General features: G+C 34.9%; 1 protein-coding gene across 4 annotated transcripts in view; it reads left to right on the top strand.

Annotated features, from left to right (window-relative positions):
* Positions 1-22403, top strand: part of CDH7 (cadherin 7) — a 140086-nt gene that overhangs the window by 102388 nt on the left and 15295 nt on the right. For 3 of the 4 annotated variants that reach the window (NM_033646.4, NM_001362438.2, NM_004361.5), the window contains exons 8-11: positions 5177-5313; positions 6286-6407; positions 7069-7186; positions 10027-10278. In NM_033646.4, coding sequence (NP_387450.1) covers positions 5177-5313; positions 6286-6407; positions 7069-7186; positions 10027-10278 — 629 coding nt within the window. Of the gene's footprint in view, positions 1-5176; positions 5314-6285; positions 6408-7068; positions 7187-10026; positions 11487-22403 lie in introns of those variants that run through there. The other variant, NM_001317214.3, reaches the window with a different exon arrangement.

A 22403-nucleotide genomic window follows, 5' to 3' on the forward strand; every position in this document is an offset into this window, starting at 1 on the left:
TATTTTGTACCTCATTTTTCAAAACTTAGATATAAAGACATCACATCTACAAGGGAGGCTAGCAAATATAGTTTTTCAGAGGGACATATGGCTGCGTCTAATAAAAGCATGGTTCTCTTAACAAGAAGTAAGAGAAATATAATTATTAGGCATGCAAATGGAAGTTTCTGCCACATATGATCTTACATATTTGTTTGAGAATTAAGGAAAAAAGGTAAACTATATTTTAAATATTATATCCTGCAAAGAGAAAAGTTCAGAAGGTAGGGTAATTTGGGGAAAAGGTTGATGAATTTGCTCATAGATATATTGAGATTGAATTAATGATGGTAAAGCCATCTATAAAGCAGTGTTCAAAAATTTCAGGAACTAGTTTTAGGCTGGATATTGAGATACAGAGCTGTCAGCATAATAAGTGGATGGGGCAGAAGCTTAACTGCTGTTGCTGCAAAAATATGGAAGTGATCTCTCTAATTGTCCGCTCCAATATACACTAAAGGAAGCCAAGTATTTTAGGCTGTAATTTGCAGAAGCTAGAGAGATTGTTGTAAGTTCACACACCGCTAATGGCATCAGAAGTTGCACTGTAGTTAGTGGTGGTTCATGACTAGGAAATCACCCATCCTCACACTTCTAGTTCAGCCTCCAATTAACTCAGGCAACTGCATTTCTCAGTCCCTAGGCCAGTCAATCCACAACATCAAATAGTGTTTCCTTTCAGACTTCTTTTAGGGCCTTTCTTCTCTTGGCTCAATCAGCCATCCTACATTACTAAGGCAGAGATACATTACACTTCTCATTCTAAAAAGTATCTGTATTTTCTTTATTTTTCTCACCTAAGGATTTTTTTTTTCTCAAGTGACTTTATACATTAGCTAATGCTTTATACAACAACTGAAGTTTTTTTGCATGTCCAGAGGGGCTGGTAGAAAATAGGAAACCCCTTTAATTCTAGGTGACCCCAAGTCCTTGCCATTAAGAAATGTAAAAACCACCAGGACTGTTCTGGATGTTCAGTCTAATCCTTGTCTTTGACAAAGTGTCCCATCTCATCTCAAGTCAATACCTTTCTGCAAACATGCCCTGACCTCCTTCATAACAACTTCTTAGTTTCTTCCTCAATATTTATTATTTTCGTTGCAATAAAAAAAGTTTATGTAATGTATTTCCTGAAATAGTATGTCACTTGCAGGTGCTCAAGAGTAATTGCCAAATGCATAAATGAATAAATGGAAGACATAAGGAAATGATAACATCATAAATTACCATATATATATATATATATATATATATATATATATATATATATATATATATGCTATTTAGTGAGATCTAAGTGGGGATTATAGTTATTAACAAATACACACAATTTAGAAGGGGTCTGGGCGTGGTGTGTGGTTCAAGCCTGTAATCCTAACACTTTGAGAGGCTGAGGCAGGAGAATTGCTTGAGCCCAGGAGTTTGGGACCAGCCCTGGCAGCAATAGTGAGACCGTATCTCTACAAAAAATACAAAAATTAGCTTGGCACAGTGGCCCATGTGTGTAGACCTTGCTCCTTGGGAGGCTGAGATGGGAGGATCACTTGAGCCTGAGAGGTTGAGGCTGTAGTGAGCCATGCTTGCACCACTGTACTCCAGCCTGGGCTACAGAGTAGACTTTGTTTAAATAAATAAATATATCTACAAGGGGAAGCTGCAGAGTGTATAATTTAGAAATGGTAAATATTTGAATGATAGAAACTTTTGTTGCCCATGTTTTTTCAAAACAGATAGAGTCCTAGGTTATAACTAGATCCCTAAATTATTTGTAGTTTTCTATGAGGCAAATACTGGTTGGAGACCAGTTTAGCATATTAAATAAATTCTCAACTTTAATTTTTTTTATTCTAACGCTAGGATCTTTGAGACTATTGATAATAGAAGCAAGTGTTTTAGTCATTGACTTTAGCCCTGTGGGGAATTACATGAATTCATTTAGACTGATGTCTGTCAAGTTCAAGGCCTTTTAGCTTTTAAGAATCTAGACATTTGTCTTTTCATGAATATTCAAACATTATCTCAGTTATTAACTTAGAGATTTGACAAAGAGAGCAATTCAGGTTTTAATATTGGCTTAATTGATGCATGAATGTATGGGTTATAATCTCATTAAGTTATAATCCTCTTATCAAACATTAATATCAGTTTTCCTATTGCCATTAGATATGACTTACATAGAAGTGTATTTTATATATGTATATTGGTTCATACATATACGTATGTATGTAGTATATGTGTACACATATATATATATACACACACATATATATACACACACACACACACATAGATACACACATAACCCTGTTCTAAGTAAGCATATTCCACCCTGTATCTCACGGTAAATGCAGCTATGAAACCTGGATAGAGTGGAGCCATCAGGCCTCTAAAAAGTAAATATTAGCAGGTAGTTTAGTGAAGATGAGTATACAGAGTATCTCCAAACCTGTGATGAGTTTACCATTATTTTCTCTCTACTGTCCCCTGTCCTGGAGTAATAATTAGAAAAACATTAGTAGAATAAATCCAAAGCAAGGTGAAGAAATAAAACAATAAAGATAAGAACATAAATCAATGCATTTCAAAACAAATTTTACAGAAATCAATAGAATTAAAAGCTTGTTTTTTTGAACAGACCTAAATATTGATAAACGTCTACCAACATTGACAAAGGAAAAAAAAAAGCAGAAAAAATGATAAATATTAAGAACAAAAGAGGAGATGTTACACACCCCGCAAACATAAAATGCAGAATAAGAAAACACTATAAACAAATCTACTGACATAAGTTTTATAATTTCAATGAAATTAGGCAATTTAGAATAAACGGATCAATTTTTCAAAAAGTGTAAACTCTCAAAACTCACTCAATATGAAATAGATAACCTAAATAATCCCATAACTATTAAATTATAATTTTAGTTAAAAACTTTCTGAAAATGGAAATATCCAAGCCCAGATAGCTTCACTGACAAATTTTTACCAAACGCTTAAAGAAGAATTACCAAGTGTACACAGTATTGTTCAGGAAATATGAGAAGAGGGAATGCATCCCAACTTTTTTACAAGTACAGCCTTATTCTTACTACCAAAACCAGGTAGACACAGCAAGTAAAGAAAACTTTGATCAAGACTTTCATGCAAATATTTTCCACAGAACATTTAGATAACTCAATCAAGCAATATAGAAAAGAATAATTCACCATGATAAAGTAGGGTTTATCCCAGAAGCATAAGATTGGTTTAATATTCAAAAGTTCATCAATATAATGCATCATATTAAGAAATTAAAGAAGAAAAAACACACTGTCAGATCAATTGAAAAAAAAAATGGGGGAAGCTGGCTCTCCCGCCGTAAGGACACTCAGGCAGTGTTGTGGAGAGGAGTCCATTTGGCAGCACCAACTCACCATCCATGCCATGCACATGCCATCAATGTGAATAAGACACTTCGAAACTGGATCTTCCAATCCCAGTCAAATCATCAAATGACTGTAGACCCAGCCAACATTTGACTACAACCTCCTGTGAGATTAAGAGCTAAAACTGCCCTACAAACACACTTTCAAATTCCTGACACAAACAAAATAAGATATATTATTATTATGGTTTGATGTCACTAAATTTGATGTATTGCAATGTAATATCCATATACACAGGAGTAATAATAATGAGGGCTCATAGTACATAAATTGGTAAGAGATGTGAGGAAATAAAGGCAAATTGATTTTAAGAAAATGTTGCTAGCATCAATAAACTGTAGGTCCCTATTAGGATGAAGAATTGCTGGAGTGGGAGGTGGTGGATAGAGAGTAAGATGCTTGAAGTAGAGTTTCCCACAGTAATGCATATATTAGAGCTGACAAGTCAAGGGTATGTTCATAAGAATCCATGACGCCTGGAGTAAAGGAGCAAATCAAGAATCAAGAAGATGAAGAACATGAAAGGCCTTTATGTTTAATGGGTCATGAGGGTAGCTGAAGCAGTTGCTGATCATCATGCCTAAAGTGGGTGTGTGTTTTTTTCCTGTTTGTTCTTTCGTTCATTTGTTCGTTTAATTGTTTGTTTTTGAATGAGAGCCATCTCACCCAACCAGAAAGACTGCGAGGGGAACCTGAAGATGATCATCATGAGGGGAGGGTAAATTTTGTGTATAAAACAAATAATAGCATGGACTAAAAATACAAGTGGAGTAGTAATTTTTCACTGCTGAAAAAATGTTTGGATTACAGATATTTCAAGAAAAGGCTTTTACATGCAAAAATAGCCATGCAATCTCAGGGGTTCCACTTTGAAACATGTCTTTAGAATCCTGGTCAAGACCACTGAGTAAGATTTAAAAAAAAAAAAAAGAAAGAGGGTTAATAACAGGTTGGTGCCGTCAGAACAAAAGATATTACTAAGTATATGCAAATGGGCAAGATGTTTACATGTTTCATTTTAGAAGGGTCCATAATCGTGACCAGGGTTACCAAATATATTGTAAATGGTTTACAGGAGTCATAATAATAATAATGAATTTAGCCAGTGATGGTGGCTCACGCCTATAATCCCAGCATATTAGGAGTCTGAGATGGAAGGGTCACTTGAGCCCAGGAATTCAAGACCAGCCTGAGGAATATAGCAAGACCCTGCATCTATAATAATAATAATAATAATAATAATAATAATAATAATAATAATAAAATAGCCAAATATGGTGGTGCATGCCTCTAGTCCTAGCTACTCAGGAGGCTGAGGTGTGAGAATCCCTTAAGCCCAGGAGTTTGAGGTTACAGTGATCCACTCCACCCCAGCCTGGGTGACAGCAAGACCCTGTATCAAAAATAAATAAATAATAATAGTAATAATAATGAACTTGAAGTTCTAATGACATATTCAAAGCCATTGTGAAGATTACTGTGGTGTTCATTTAGTACTGTCTGACAGAAAAGCAAACATATTAGTGAGACACAGGTTATAAACCATCTAATATGTGGGGAGAGTTTTAAACCAGGCATGCATTTATGTGATTAATATGACAGATCAGAGAGTCAGTAGGATTTAGTAATGAGCTACACAAATAATGAAATAGTTTCAGCAAATTATAATCAAACGTACATGTTGAAGGCTTTTCTTTTCTTCAATGTTCAATTAGGTACTCAATTGACAGAAACACAGACTTGGAGAGATACTTCAATATTGATGCCAACAGTGGGGTCATCACAACTGCCAAGTCTTTGGATCGAGAGACAAATGCTATTCACAATATCACAGTCCTTGCAATGGAGAGCCGTAAGTTGTGAGGCTTAAAACTAAATTAAGATGGAGGACAGTGAGTGGAGAATCGATTGTCATGAGGTTGTAAATTCAAGTTAATTAAAGTAGTTCCTTCTTTGAATTGTACAAAAACTTGAGAATACCAAATTTCTAAGCTGTGAAATATACTTATCTTCACTGTCTTTCTATGATAATATTTACAAAATTTATGAAAACCAAGGACTAAAAAACAATGGGCCTATATTACCTTCACAGGATTTCTTTTTTTCTGATCATAATTCATATATTGTGTTTATGCTGTTATGGAGTTAGTGAAATAACTTACAGTAATTAGTAAATTGATCTATAACAAAGACATCTGGATTTGAATATTCTGATACTGAACTAAGTTTAGTCCCTCATAAAAGATAAAATAATAAATAAAATAAAATAAAAACTATTGAAAAATGAATGCATATTTGCATGCATATATGTATATGATATATTGTGTATTTTAATGTGTATGCATTTATAATACATGTGTTGATAATACAAATGTATAGTCATGCAAATATGAGCTCTAACATCAAAGAACATTGAAATTCATGGTTTACCATTTATTCTTCTTTCAACAATTTTCTCATCAGGGACTAAAAAACTACAAGTACACATGTAGACCATAAATATACATTTATATATATGCATGTATATCCAAATACACACACATATAATCATGTATATGTATATATTTGGATATACATAAGTATGTATACATACACATATACGTATATACATATATGTATGTGTGTATATATATACACACACATACAAATACATACATATGAATGTGTGTGTGTATTTGGATCATATTTTCGTATTTTCTATAGCTCCTTTTAAGTAATACAGCATTATGATTCTAGATTTCATTCTCAGCTTCGTCATTTTATTATTAGAATTGTGCTTTAGATGGGCAAAGAGTAAATGATAAGACACTGTCTTATTTATTAGAGAATCCATCTCAAGTAGGAAGAGGCTATGTGGCCATCACTATACTTGACATCAATGATAACGCCCCTGAATTTGCCATGGACTATGAGACCACCGTCTGTGAAAATGCCCAGCCGGGGCAGGTAAGAGTCTTCAGAACACTTTGCTTCTAATTTGTGGTTTCTTAAAAAATATCCAGCAGCAGTTGCCTTTGAAATTCTTCCAGCTTTAAGATAAAATATAATCAGCTTGTTTCAGCAAAACTAACACTTTGATGTGTAGCATGAACTAATATTAAAGGAACCTTCAAATTCCAGTTTAATTGGGGTGATGAAAATTCCTCAGGAAGGAAAGGTAAACATTGTAAAAGCTCTGTTAAATGGCTAAGAACTTAGACTCCTTTCGGAGAAAGACAGCATAGTACGCTGATTGGGCTGTTTCCTACCTTACCCAACCGGGTTTAAGTGTCTTACAATTCTAAGAATTAAGTGCAGTTCAATCTCAGTTTGGTTTGTTCATCTATTGTTCAGTGTCTTGTGATGTTTCCTGGGATGTCTAATCAATTGGAACAGCTTATTTCTGAAGTTCACAAAAGTGAATTCAAACATGAACTAAGAAAATGACATGATTTGTTTTTCAGAGCCCTTTTTTAGATTGGGTTCATAATAATACATCGGATCCTTTCTCCCTAGCTCATTCAGGGAGATGGTATTTATTATAAAGTGTAAAATTGCTTTGTCCTGCCACAGAAAACTAAGCATAGCACACCAATGTGCTTTCATCTTTTACTTTCTCTTTTCCTAGGTTATCCAGAAAATCAGTGCTGTGGATAAAGATGAGCCATCCAATGGACACCAGTTTTACTTCAGCTTAACAACGGATGCAACAAATAACCACAACTTTTCATTGAAAGATAACAAAGGTAATGTATTAATATTGTTACCGATAGAGGCAGCAGGTACAGATACTCTAAGCAAGTATTTTTCTCCCCAGGAATGCTGATTATGGATTTTTTTTAAAGCAAGGACAATAATTAAAGGGCAATGAGCACCTCAAGTAATTTTTATCTATGGATTTACTATCATGAAGGAAAAGCTGCTATTTAAATTTTCTTAGGCCTAAAGCCAAATAGGAGGGAAAGTTAGATTTTTCTCATTCTTTTCTTATAAGCACTCGTTTTCTTATTTGTATACCAAGTTCATTATCCAAATAATCTAATAAGTTGATGGTCAACTAAATACCCTAATAAGTACTATGCTCATAGATGCAACTTGAGACATAAGAAAAAGAACTGGACATTACACATTTTAATCTAAATCAACTTTGACTTAATGTTTTCGATAATACCCCTTACTCTTTTATTTTTACATAAATGCAAATGTAATTCATGCAAATAATAATAAAATAATGACATATTTATGATGCTAAGAAATATAATGTTAAAAATAACAAAACTCCCTCTCGTGTCAAATTGTATTTCTCTGCTTCAAAGGTAAACACTCTTAGCAGTTTCCTAAATATCATTATAGTAAAAAAAACTTACAAATACCTACAAGTAGATTTTAGTTTTGCTTAATAATATATATTGACAGTTATAAGAACTTAAAGCACGAGAACCTGCTATCATTGTCTAATTTTGAATCATATGTTCGAATGAGTTTTTATTCAAGATATTTATTTTAGTGGAAGGAGAGCATTTGAAACTGATGTAGAGGGTGAATAGTACCCCCCAACAGCATGGAAAATATCTATTTTTAAAAATTTATGTTGTTTATGTAAATCTGGTTTTAGGAAAAAAGTACAGAATTGGATTTGCTAGTCATTACTGGCTTGTTTAAAACAGACTTACTACCAAAAGGTGGATAAGAAGTTTTGCATGAAGCCATCACCTTATTTAGTGCAACCTAGGCCTCAAAAAATTTCAATCTCAAAAAAATTCAATCTGAAAATGATAATTTTTCCTGATCTTATTTCCTACTCAATGAGAATACTATTGTGTCCCTTTAGTAATATAGAAGGTAGAGCATTCTCTACCTGGGTAACTCCAGACTCACTGACTTAATCATAGTTAAGAAGGATAATTCTCAGCATTTAGGTTCATCTGGTACAAGTGCAGAGAAGGGAATTTATGAACTTCACAAGGAGAATGTGAGTATATCCCCCATGTGTCACCATCCAATACCACCATGATTGCTGTACAGCACGTGCACTAAAATGTCAGCATTTATAGGACATCCACATTGCCACACAATTGAAAAATTGTCTACCTTAAGCCCAGAGCTCCCTTGACTGTACCTTGAAGGAAAACATATGAATACAGAGAGAGTCAGTTCTTAAGAAGTCTTCCATATGATCACTTTTCTGAATATAGAGTCATATTCTCACTTTTTGGGCATTTCAGCTTGTGTTCCTCAATTCACCGTGTGTGTGTGTGTTTGTGTGTGTGTGTGTGTGTGTGATTTTGGTATCAGTCATGTTAGATTACAAATCAACAACTTTCTAAAACTTTTTGTATCAAGTCATAAATGCCTCTGACATCGGAGTTGGTAGGAGGCAGAGGCATAGGCCTGCGTGCTATTGTGAAATGTACAGGAACTTACTCAAAACAGTATCCTTCAACAACTCCAGCTTAATTTTTTAGTGAGTACCTTCTCAAATTCATACATTCTAAAATAAAAGATTTTTTTACATAAAAATCTACCAGATGGAATCTGAAAATCAAACTGTTTTATTACTGTCTCTTCTATAATTGCATGTAATACATTTTCTGCAGTCTAATATGAGCTTGCTGTTTTGTGCTGTTTGAGACAGATTTCATCTCGCTGTTTCACTAGAGTACCGTTAATTTTTTCATGCTATCATTGAATAAATCTTTTTGACAGTTTGGAAGAGAGAAAAATAGATAAAAGCACACTGCATGAAACTCTGATCCTGATTTTTCTTCTTTTCCTTTATATTTTTATTAACAGCTATTAATTTAAAAAATCTCATAAATACTCTTATTATTTAATTAAGACAAGTTAGTTGGAAAACTGCTAACACACACAAAACATATTTTTGATATATAAATCACACGTTATATAGACTTATTGATCACTTGTTTAAAGTTCATAATTACTATAATTGCTTAGATGAATTCAAATATTAAATATAAGGTAAACATAAATAGCCTGTTTTATCACTGACAAAATGTTTATACACATAGAGTAGCTATAAATACCTATATATAATTTTCAAAATTTTACGATAAAATTCTTCTGAATATCCCTGTATATTCAATTTAAATAAAGCTAAAGTAGCTGATTTTACCCTTTTTAAATATTGGTCTTGCAACTTGTCTAAGAAAGGATAGACTGAAAATTTTATCTGTGCTATATGATGATACTGCAAAATATTTAACCTGTTAATATGTACCATCCTTTCTATAAGTTTATGGTGTCAAATTTAAGATAAGTAAAAGATGTAGTTTTTATAAAGTTGCAATTAATGTAATAAGTGATGCATAAACATTTTCATATTTTGTTTTACTTTATAACTATTTCTTTTGTTATACTGCATAGAATAACATAAATGTCTTATAATGTATTAAACTGGAAATGTCCCTCTGTCCTAGAGAATTGAAAGAAAATTGTTGAAATAAATCTGCAACTCCAGAGATTTCCCTAATTAAGGCATCAAAGTAAATAGAGTGACTTAAATAAAGTTTGGGAAGACTGATTCCATCAGAAATCTGGTGTTATACATTTGCTTTCGTTATCCTAGACAACACAGCCTCAATACTGACCAGGAGAAACGGCTTCCGGAGACAGGAACAATCAGTTTACTATCTGCCAATTTTCATTGTGGACAGTGGATCTCCCTCACTTAGCAGCACCAACACCCTCACCATCCGCGTGTGTGACTGTGATGCTGACGGCGTAGCCCAGACCTGCAATGCAGAGGCCTATGTCCTACCTGCTGGCCTCAGTACAGGAGCCCTGATAGCCATACTCGCCTGTGTCTTGACATTATTGGGTAGGTACTGTTTCCAGGGCTTGCTCTGAAAGAGCTGTCACAATAACCACATGTCACGACTTGCCTATTATCTTCTCCATTTGGTGAACATATGCAGATATTCTACTGGATGGTGTTTGTTTTGTTTTGTTTTTCTTTGAGACGGGGTCTCACTCTGTTGCCCAGGCTGGAGTGCAGTAGAATGATCTGGGCTCACTGCAGCCTCTGCCTCCCAGGTTCAAGCAATTCTCCCACCTCAGCCTCCCGAGTAGCTGGGATTACAGGGGTGCACCACCACACCCAGCTAACTTTTGTATCTTTAGTAGAGACTGAGTTTCACCATGTTGGGCAGGCTGGTCTTGAACTCCTGACCTCAGGTGATCCACCCACCTTGGCCTCCCAAAGTGCTGGGATTACAGGAGTGAGCCACAGCTCCTGGCCTGGATGGTGTTTTGCTCACTAAGTAATACAATTGTTGGCCACACTTTCCAGTGGTATATTTGAAGTATAACTCAGACAAAAAGTTGTATCAATTTCATTTTCAAAGCAACAGTGAAGATAAATGGCTTATGCTTTAAATTAATGCTTTTTAGGATTAAAAATAATCTATCTTATCCCAGTTCTTTGCTTTAGAGCACTCTACAGAGGAGATACACTAGACTGGAGAATACATTTTCTATATTGTTTTGACAATATGCTTATTTTAGAAATTATGGCTTTATATTCTACTTTTTAAAGAAATTATTTGATTGCTTTCTTAAATTATTTGCAAATTTGAAATGATTACAATTTCAGCAATGCAAATCTTATATTTTTAAAGTATTAAATACTAACACATTTAATTGTACATTTCCATGATTAGTTTATTACTCGGTTAAATTAAATTTATAACTCATATTTGCAGTAACTCAGATTTTGCAGCATCCTTTTAAAAATTGGGAGATGTCCAATGTGGACACTGGGTAATGGGTTTATTCCAAAGAAACATTTTTCTTCACATTGTAACTTGTAACACGAACACAACAAGAACAGAGTAAACATTCAATATACCGTTCCATATGGTGAATGTTCAATAAATTTTAAGTGTTACTGATGGAAAATTATAAGCTAAGACCTAGTTACTAATACATTATAAATGCTGTCGTGAAAATGGAGGTTATTGTCTTAAGTAACTTAAGCTAAACAAGTAAATCTAAAAGAAAATAAACTATATTTTGCATAGAACTTTACACAGATGCAGAAACTTTCAGAATTTCATTAGAAATGGGAAGTAATTACCTGCTAAATCTAATTAGAATATAAGGGATTAAAGTTTGAAAAAGGTAGAACCACTGCAAACAAATTTTTATTGGTCTAGAAGCTTCTAAAACAAACTTGTCCAACCTGTGGCCTGCAAGCCGCAAGCAGCTGAAGATGGCTTTGAATGTGGCCCGACACAAATTCTTAAATGTTCTTAAAACATTATGAAATGTTTTGCGGTTTTTTGTTTGTTTGTTTTTTGTTTTGTTTTGTTTTTTTTTTTTGCTCACCAGATATTGTTAGTCTATTTTATGTGTGGCCTAAGACAAGTATTCTTCTTCCAATGTGGTGCAGGGAGGCCAAAAAATTTAGATTTTGGAATCTAAAACTTAATAAAAAAGATGTAAATTGCATATTTATTTTATAGTAGCAGAATAACCTACATTAGAAGATTTAAAAATTACATTTGTGGGCCAGGAGCAGTGGCTCACGCCTGTAATCCCAGCACTTTGGGAGGCTGAGGCGGGCGGATCATGAGGTCAGGAGATCAAGACCATCCTGGCTAACACGGTGAAACCCTGTCTCTACTAAAAATACAAAAAAAAATTAGCCAGGAGTGGTGGCGGGCGCCTGTAGTCCCAGCTACTTGGGAGGCTGAGGCAGGAGAATGGCGTGAACCCAGGAGGCGGAGCTGGCAGTGAGCCGAGATCATGCCACTGCACTCCAGCCTGGATGACAGAGCGAGACTCCATCTAAAAAAAAAAAAAAAAAAAAAAAAATCCATTCATGTTTAGAATGTCTTTAGCTTGAAGGCACAGAATGAGAAGGAATAATGAGAGGATAAGTAGATGATGTGTGGAAGACTTTTTAAGTTTGGTCAGTGTATCATAAACAACTTAGATTATGCCGTAAAGGAATAAGATTGTATTCCCCAAATTTTAATTATCCTCAATAATGAATTGTTTTTTGATTATTTTAAGGCTGTCTGATGAAGCTTGCTTCACTTTAGTAAACACTTTCAACTTTGACTTTGGGATTTTTTGCGATTTAGGTTGCTTGATGATTCTAATTAAGAATTATCAGCTAATTATTACTGAAAGTAACTGAAATAGAGTTTTATTATATTTCATTCTTAGATATACTGTATATGAGTATACATATACAGTATGTGCATGTATGCTTGTGTGTGTGTCTGTGCATAAAAGTTTGGGGGATTTGTCAAAATTTAAGTATGGCTACTCTTTCTGCTAAATTTGAACATATTGCTTAAGTAGACACCAAATTTGGAATATCTCTTCCACTTCTAAGGATCAATTTTTTTGTGCCCTATATTTTATTCATTTTTTTAAGAGTTACCGCAAGTCTTCAAAACCGTAAGTAAAACAAAGTCTGTTGTACTGAAATACAATTTGGAACAAGGGGCTTCTGCTTGCAGCTTCCATTTCTATAGTGACCACACAATAATCAGTATCATCAAATGCTACCATTTTAGCTCAGAAATGTGGTCTCTTTGTGTCTTATTTCCCAAGTTTTTAAAAGCAGATAATCAGGAATTTTTATACTGTTTTAGTTTTGTCGCCACTATTATAGACTCTGGATTTTCACACAGTAAGTGCTGAAGCCAATGAGATTAAGTATTCACAGGGGGTGCATGTGGGGCCCACAGCCTGGCATGAAAATTGATTTCTAGTACACAAATAATTCATTCTTTATGACACCTCAGAAAGTGGTGTGAATCTCGTTTCTAGGCATTAGGTATCAGGATTTGTAACTCAAACCTTTTAAGACTTCTGAACAAATATTACTGGCAAAAAGCAAGGTGAGGAGGTGGAGATGGGGAATAAGAACTTGAAAATCAAGTTCAATTAAGAATGAAACTATAGGCCGGGCGCGGTGGCTCACGCCTGTAATCCCAGCACTTTGGGAGGCCGAGGCGGGCGGATCACGAGGTCAGGAGATCGAGACCATCCCGGCTAAAACGGTGAAACCCCGTCTCTACTAAAAATACAAAAAATTAGCCGGGCGTAGTGGCGGGCGCCTGTAGTCCCAGCTACTTGGGAGGCTGAGGCAGGAGAATGGCGTGAACCCGGGAGGCGGAGCTTGCAGTGAGCCGAGATCCCGCCACTGCACTCCAGCCTGGGCGACAGAGCAAGACTCCGTCTCAAAAAAAAAAAAAAAACAAAAAAAAAAAAAAACAAAAAAAAAAAAAAAAAGAATGAAACTATAGAAGTACCTGGACTTTAGACTCTTAAAAAAAAAAAAAGGTACTTGACTACATGTTAAGTTTGTGTTCCAGTGATGTGACTAATTAAAGCTACATGTAACATGACGGATGGGGATGCACTGACATTACCAGAAGTTTAATGCTGGAAGGCATCCCACGTATCAATGCTAACCCAAACCTTACAGAGGGAAAACTTGAGGTGTAGGGTAAGTTCGAGGGTTTGTAGGAGTACATATAACAAGTTAGAGGATATGACGGGGTAAGATTCTAGGTCTCCTTATTCTCAATCACTGATTTTTATTTAAACTGCACAAGAAGTACATCGTGAAAATATAAATATGTTTACGCCTATATATTGCTGAAATAATTCATGTTATCCGAAGTTGTATTTGTCAGTCTTTATCTCTATCTGTATTCTCCTAACTTTATGGATGAACTGCTTTCTGATTTCTCATTCTTGCTCTCTCTCTAATTTATTTACACCTGAATTCTTTAAATGAAAAAAAAATCCAAAAATTAGAACATGGGTTTCCTTTATTTACAGTGAGTACAGTTTGAATGAGATAAGCTATTGCTATACTCACATTTCATCATAAAATAATCAATTAGATACCTCAATTATTTTTCATGCAGAAAAATTTCATCAACATATGGCAAGATACTCTGGTATTCTAAATTTTTTTTTTTTTTTTTTTAGACAGGGTCTTGCTCTTTCACCCAGGCTGGAGTGCAGTGGTGCAATCTCGACTCACTGCAAGCTCCACCTCCTGGGTTCACGCCATTCTCCTGCCTCAGCCTCCCGAGTAGCTGGGACTACAGGTGCCTGCCACCACGCCCGGCTAATTGTTTGTATTTTTATTAGAGATGGGGTTTCACTGTGTTAGCCAGGATGGTCTCGATCTCCTGACCTCGTGATCCACCCGCCTTGGCCTCTCAAAGTGCTGGGATTACAGGCGTGAGCCACCGTGCCCGGCCTGTATTCTAAATTTTGAATAGAAATTACAACCCATAACTAACATCAATACCAATTTAATTATGCATTTTTATCATAGTTAAATTCACACTTACAGACATACACAATTATTCTTCCACCAGGCTAAAAACACTTTAAAGAAAAAAAATTCTATGAATGACTAAGACATTCGATTATTTATTCAGTAGATTTTTTTAATAAAGGAGAAGAATTTCAACTGTTTTGTTTAAAAATATGGTTTCAATATTAAATATTGTACTCCTATTCTTAAAATATTACAGCTAAATTCTTTCTGTTCCTCGGCATACACAAAAATAAAACCTGTTTCTTGCACAATAAGGCTGCCACTGAATTTACTATATTAAGTTTTGGGTGTTTCTGTACTTGGACTTCCAGGGCCCAGTAATTGAAGTCTTCTAGCGTTCCTTCCAGCTCTTTGCTCTTCTGACACAATTGGGATTAGTTAGACCAGCCCAGCTTCATAAACTCAGATTTAATAAGGTGTTTGTAGAAACTTGCTGTTTACTGCATGGGATTCGGTCTCCTCCAGTATGTCTATGATGGTCAGCTTGACAGTTAGCTGTCATGCATCTTTTCACTTTTCTTCCCTGATCTCCCAAGTACTAAACTATATTTGGCCACCAGTAACTGTGGCTATTCATGATTTTTTTCCAACAGAAAAATGCTTTCTTGTTTTTGCAAATGATAGTGAACATCACTGAAGATTGTGGAGAAAAAAAGTGGCAGCACTATGTAAAAAAATGGATCCCCATCATAATCTATAATGATAGAACATAATTGGCATAGCAGCCCTAGAGATAATAATGTGCAGACTACTGTTGGCTAATTTATAGTAGCAGATGTGTTCCTCTTTCAAACAAGCATGAGCATAATAAAAAATGAATTGCATTTCATAAGCTCGTACTATGTGCTAGACATCAGCCTAAGTGCTTTACAAGCTTTATCTAATTTAATGCTCATAAGAGATTTCCTAGGCAAGTATTACTATGCCCACATTTTATATAAGAAAACTACAACTTAGAGGAAATACACAAAAAGTTACAGAATGAACAAGTGTCAGAGTCCGGACCCAAACACAGGGAAGCCTGCCTCCTAAATGTTCTTTATAAGGTATTTTTCCATATATGTTTCCCCACGTGAAAGACCTCTCTGTTTCTAGGAAATGCTTACAGGTTTGTGGATATTACAGCCTGGGCACTGCCAAATTAGGTGCAGGAGTATCTTTGCTGTGTTTCACATAGTGGTTTTATTATTTATTCGGTTAACTCTGAGTGTCTATTTTATAGTATCTTCCAATTCCTTCCAGTCTTTAGAAAACATGTTTAGAAGAGTGTGTGTTAAATTTGAGGTTATATTTCAGTACAACCAAAATCTAATACACAAATTGTCTTTGTGCATAAACCATTCATTGTACTTAGGAAACTTTTCTTCTATATTAACTGAGACTAAGGTGAAATCATTCTCCCTCACATTTAAAGGAAATGAATTTTGTGATACTTGTTTTGGGAAAAGAAAAGATCCATTTTAGTTAAACTTTTCCCTTTCTTGAGACTTGGAAAGAATTAGCCCCTTTAAGCATATATGATCTATTACAGGAGGTCTACCAATGTATGTTCCTTGTTCTATTGGAGAGTTGAAACTAGAAATCTCCAGAGAAACATCAATCCTGAGCAATTTTCCTACATTCTTGCCTCTTTTCCTGATTGAATACCCACTTATATGTTTTTCTGAGTGGAATCAGCCAGGCTTCCGTCTTCTCGCTTGCATCCTCCATGGTCAATTAGTCCGCACATACTGTTAACTTTAGTTTTTGGGCCTTGAATCAATTTGTTTCTGTCTCTTATTGTTGCACCTGATTTTTGTCCAGGGTCTTTTTTTTTTTCCTCCTGAATTGTGGCAACTCTACCATTCTCTATCAGAACCAATCCGTCAGTATTTCAGAGTAAGCTTTTAAAAACTAAATGGGATTTTGAAACACCGCAGCTTAAAATCGTATTTTCATGAAATCCCATTGTCTACAGACTAAAATCACAGACTCTCCAGTACCAGACAGCTCTCATCCAGTTTGACTTTATTTTTCTCTACTTACTTGGTGTACTTTAGTCAAATTGCATCTGTTGCTTTTTCTAAGACTCATTCTGCTTTGTCTTTCTGCCTGGAATGCCTCTTCCCATAATCTACAAGTGGGTCAATTTTTTTTTTTTTTTTTTTTTTTTTGTATTGAAGACGCACTTCTTTGGCTTCTGAGTCCAGGCTGGATGCTGTTCCTAAGGACCCCATAATACCTTGCATCTAGCAGTCTTTGAGCATCTGACATGGTCGACTTGTCTGTTTAATTGGTTTATCTCCTTGTCCATCTCTTCCAGTAGACTGCTTTTAGAGGCAAGGACTGAACATTATTTTGTCATTATTTATATCAGCTAATCAGATGCTGATCTGACACATAACAGAACATTCTATACATGCATGCTGAATGAAGCGTGAATGATTTGAATGTACTGAATTGTGGAAAAGAATAATTGATTTGACTTATTTTTATTACCCATAGGATTATCTCCATTAGACCCTATTTTTTCTATTTCCCAAGACGCTATATTTTTAGGACATTTTTCTGAGATTTGGTCTATCTCCTTAACTCTACAGAAAAATTGATGTGTCACAGATTAAAAGAATTTAAATGATGTTTGCAGGTTAGTAGCCATGGAACTATATAAGGGCTTAAGAAAAAACAGTAGAATATATGACTAAAGGTAGATGGAGAAAATATTGCAGAAGAGATGTCAGAGATATTTTATTTATCAGTTTAAAATTCAGTTAAATGTTATAGTTGATATCTCAGTCACTCACTTGGATCATACCAATTATGAATCTTTAGTTATCCTTTGCAAAAATAAAAGTAGTAGAGTTGGTCCATAAGTGCAAGATAAAATTTTAGCCTTGTGTTACTGGGGATCTGCATGAGCCTCAGATTCCATAGCACGTAAATCCACTCATCCTTCAGATCTTTACTTAAATGCCACTTCTGATGACATCCTTTTCTGATCACAACCAGACAGTGGTGGTACTCCTGCATTTTTCCTATCACTTTCCTTTTTAAGACATAAATTATTTTACGTCTCTGCTTGAAACATTTCAGATGCACTTACATGGAATCTAAATGTTTCTCATGGTCCACAAAGCAAGGCATGTTTGGCCACCTGCTTACCTCTCTAAGGTATCAGGCTGTCTGATCCTTCTCTCAACCAGTAGGAGGACCCACAATGCGTTTCTTCCCATTATTTTCAAGTGTGCTACCCTGCTCCTGAAACAGTCTTCCTGCATTTCTTCACCTGTCAAGTTTAGATTATCTTTAATGCCTCAGCTTCAGTGTTATCTCCTCAGGAGGAGTGTCCTAAGCACCATTATTCTCCATCATAGTATTTGTTTCTTTTGTAGTACTTATTTGTAACTATATGTGTTTGTTTTCTTTGCTCAAATATAAAACCTTTTGAATGTAGTGATCTTCGTCTCTCTGTCTTCTTAACCAGTATATTATTGGGGCCTGTCAAAGGCACATATAGAGACAATATTTTTAATCCATAAATATTATTTATTGCACTCTACTGAAAATTTTGCAACCTTTTCCACATATTTTAATCCCTTCAAGAATAGGTCCAGTATCCTCCATAATTCATTATTCTACCGTCAGTTAGATAGAATAGAGTAGATATCAGATAAATTAACTACATTACAGGAGGTCATCAAAATCACAAGTGAGAGCATGGTAAAGTTTACATTTTATCTGTGTATGAATCACATGACTCAAATTTTAGCAACACCCAAAAAGTTCGGAACTGAATCATATGAATTTATTGTAGAAATTCCACAATGTATGACCTATTATTGAATAAAGACAGTTATCGCCTACTGTGGGTAGCACTACTTAAGCCCTTTACAAATAGACACTCACTTAATCTTCATAAAGTTACTATGAAGTGGTTTATAAGAGGTAAAGACTATTATTTTCATATTGGAGAGCAGGTAACTGAGGCAAGGAGAAGTAAAGGATCTCACCTACCTCCATACATCCAGGAAATGGAATAACAGGTATGCAACGCAGATGAGGTCCTTAAATAGGCAGGAGCCATGGGCTGAGGGACGGGACTTGAGGCATATTCTTGGTTACAGTGAGTAGGAAGAATTGTTTGAGTGGAGCATGCGGTGATGGAGAGTTGAAGCAAAGAGGAAATGAAGAAGGTGGAGTCACAGATGACTTGGAGTTTCTGGTTTGGGTATTTTCCTACTTGAGAAAAGAGCACACAATAGGAAACAAATCAGAGGAACGTTAATGAGATTAAACTTAGAAATTTTGAATGGTGTATGAGTGAGAGCCATTGGACAGAAAGTTGTTATCAGTAAAGGAAGTGGTCATAACAAATCATAACAATGATAATTACCATTTTGAACATTTATTATATTCTGATGAGTATATATATTTGCATTATCAAAAATAGGAGTAGTCATTTTAAAATATGGTCTGGTTATCCAAAGAGATAGATGAGAGATTTAGATGTCAGAGACATCAGCTCTTGCCATACAAGAGGCAGTTGAACCTGGGGTTTCACTGGGCTCGCCTAGGAAGAATGTGGGGTGAAAAGCCAAGAAACCGAGTATGGAACTTGAGGAAGATTTACTGTAAGTACTTCTTAGAAAAGAGTGGCTACAAAAAAACATGGTTTGAAAGAAGAAAATAAAATTGTTTATTTTCTTTTAAACTCGCTGCAAGCAGCTGCATTGTTTACTATTGAGTAAGTTCAAGATAGCGGACCCACACAATTTCCCATGAAGTTCTGTGTCAGATAGGACACACATGCCATGTAAAAAAAAGGGCCACAAAGTGCTCATTGGATTTGGCAAAATGTGAGTCATTGGTAGCCTTGGTCCCTGGGAAATAGCAGGGAAAACTCAGATTGCTCTGGTTTGAGAGCAGTCAGGATATAAGAAAGTGGAAATGTGGAGTAGGCTATTCTTACATAAAATAAAAGTTAATAATATTGAGGGTATATGAAGATAAATTGTTGGCTGGAAAATTTCAGGAAAGTGTTTCCACTTAATGTCCTCCCTTTTTGAGCTCTGATGGAATAGTGTGCCTGGAGATAGTGGAGAGAGTTTCAAGATGACCCTGAAAAGAGTGGGGATAGCATGTTTCTTCATCATGGTTATTTCTGATCCATCTGAAGCCAACAAAATTCAAGCTCAGTTCAATATTAAAAGGAAATTAAGCTGGGAGCAATGACTCATGACTGTAATCCCAGCAGTTTGGGAGGATGAGGCCAGAGGATCACTTGAAGCCAGAGTTTGAGACCAGCCTGATCAACAAATGAGACCTCTTTCTCTACAAAAAATAAAACAATTAGCTAGGCATGGTGGCATGCACCCAAAGTCCCAGCTACTCGGGAAGCTGAGGCAGGAGGATTGCTTGAGCCTAGGAGTTTGAGGCTGCAGTGAGCCATGATCACTCCGGCCTGGGTGACAGAGTGAGAAAAATAAAATAAAAAAAGATTAAAATTAATTTTAAAAAATTAAAATGTCTATAAAAATTTAAAAAAATTTAAAAAACAGAATTAAACAATTTTTGAAATTAAAAAAGAAAAAAATTACTAAAACTTAATTAGTGCCCAGTAGAAAAAGAAGACAGATTTTTTAATAAACTTCATGTAAATCAACAGGATCAATAAATGGTGAAGAATTAAAAAATAGGAAGTTTTTGGAAGGCTAAGTTATACTTGCATATCAATGTGGATGATTGTTTAAAATAAATTATTGAAATTGCATCCAGATTGTGCTGGCAGATTTTTTATTTTGATTAGATTATTTTTCAACTATACCTTGTAGGTACACTAATCATTAAACTGATTATAGCTGTCCTATTGTTCAACATGTCATTTGACAATAAATCTGAGAATACCTCTAAGACCATATGCAATTAGAGTATTCTGGTGTTTGAGTCTTTTGTTTAGATCAGTTGTCCAAAATAAAGTTATTGTGAACCATCAGTGTGAAATGCATATGTAATTTGAAATTTTCACGTAGCTTTATTAGAAAAAGTAAAAAGAAACTGTTGAAATAAATGCTAATAATATATTTCAAACACACTATACAAAACTATTATCATTTTAATATGTGATCCATGAAGATTATTGAGACAATATTTTACTTTTTTAAAAAGAGAAACTTAAGTCTTGAACATCATATGTTTATTTTACACTTAGAGCATATCTCAATGAAGAATAGCCATATTCCAAGTGCTCAATAGCCACATGCAGCTAGTGGCAACTATGGTAGACAACGAAAATTTAAACGACTATTTTATGGCTAATTAGAAATGATGATTGTTCATAAGAGACCATATAGATGATGGTGTTTTTGGTAAAGACTTACTTATCCCTCAAGTCACATTTCAAATGTCATCTCTTATGTTGGACTTTCTCTGAGAATCCTGGGCAGAAATAATCCCTTTCCCATACATATTTTCCTAGCATATTTTATATTGCTTTATATTTAATTCATTCTATAATATTTAACTCTTTATTTTTTATTCAAATTGTTGGGCTTGTTGATGGCAAGTCCAGCAAGTCTACATATTTCTAGTCACATTTCCTTGCCTATAACTTATTAATCCATTTATCAAATATTTATTGAGCACATACTTACTATCATGTATTATTCTTTGTGCTTAGGGTAAATCTGTAGAAAGCAAAGTCACTGCCCTTCATATGGCTTACAGTTTTAGCAATCAGTACTCATTAAAAATATTATTGAATTAAATGGAATTTAGGCTTTAAACCTGTGGTAGTAGCCACTAAACAATGGATTAAACTTAAGAAAGTGATATTTAACAGATACAAACATAAATTTATCCAATTTGGTTTTAAAAAACTTTCTTTACAGAGTTTTAGGCTAGGAAAAAACCTAGTGGGATGTAATTTACATTACTGAGTGATTTTAAAAGGATACCAGATTCAACATTTTAAATATGTTAAAAAAAATTAGTGGAGTTACTTTCTCTTTAATATAAGTAGCCTTAGAAAGCCAAATACCTCATGTTCTCATTTATAGGTGGGAGCTAAACAATGCGTACACATGGATATAGCATGGTGGAATAATAGACGTTGGAAACTACAAAAGGTGGGAGAGTTGACGGGGAGTAAGGGTTGAAAAACTACCTGTTGAGTACAGTGTTCACTGTTTGGGTAATGTACACCAAAAGTCCAGACTTCACCACTGCAAGATAAACGCATGTAAAAAAATCTGCACTTCTACTCCCTAAATACATAAAAATTTAAAAAATTCAAATATGCATATTTTATATGTATATACTTATATATGCATATATAAATGTATATATATTTATAATTTCATACATGTATATATAGATATGTGGCCTTATTTAGCAATGGTACCATTTTGTGATGATCAGATGACATCGGCAGAATTCTGCTATTTCTGGGTGCCAAAACTGAATATTGAGCATTCTGACATTTGCAAGCACAGAACATCCAGAGTAGGGGACTCAGGATGACAACGAGGTTTTGAACTCCAGACCAGCTGAACACTACACATGCATGTGGAGCAAGCTTGTTCAACCTGAGGCCCGCGGGCCACATGTGGCCCAGGATGGCTTTGAATTTGGACTAACACAAATTTGTA

The sequence above is a fragment of the Homo sapiens genome, chromosome 18, assembly GCF_000001405.40.
Source record: "Homo sapiens chromosome 18, GRCh38.p14 Primary Assembly".
Classification (NCBI taxonomy): domain Eukaryota; kingdom Metazoa; phylum Chordata; class Mammalia; order Primates; family Hominidae; genus Homo; species Homo sapiens.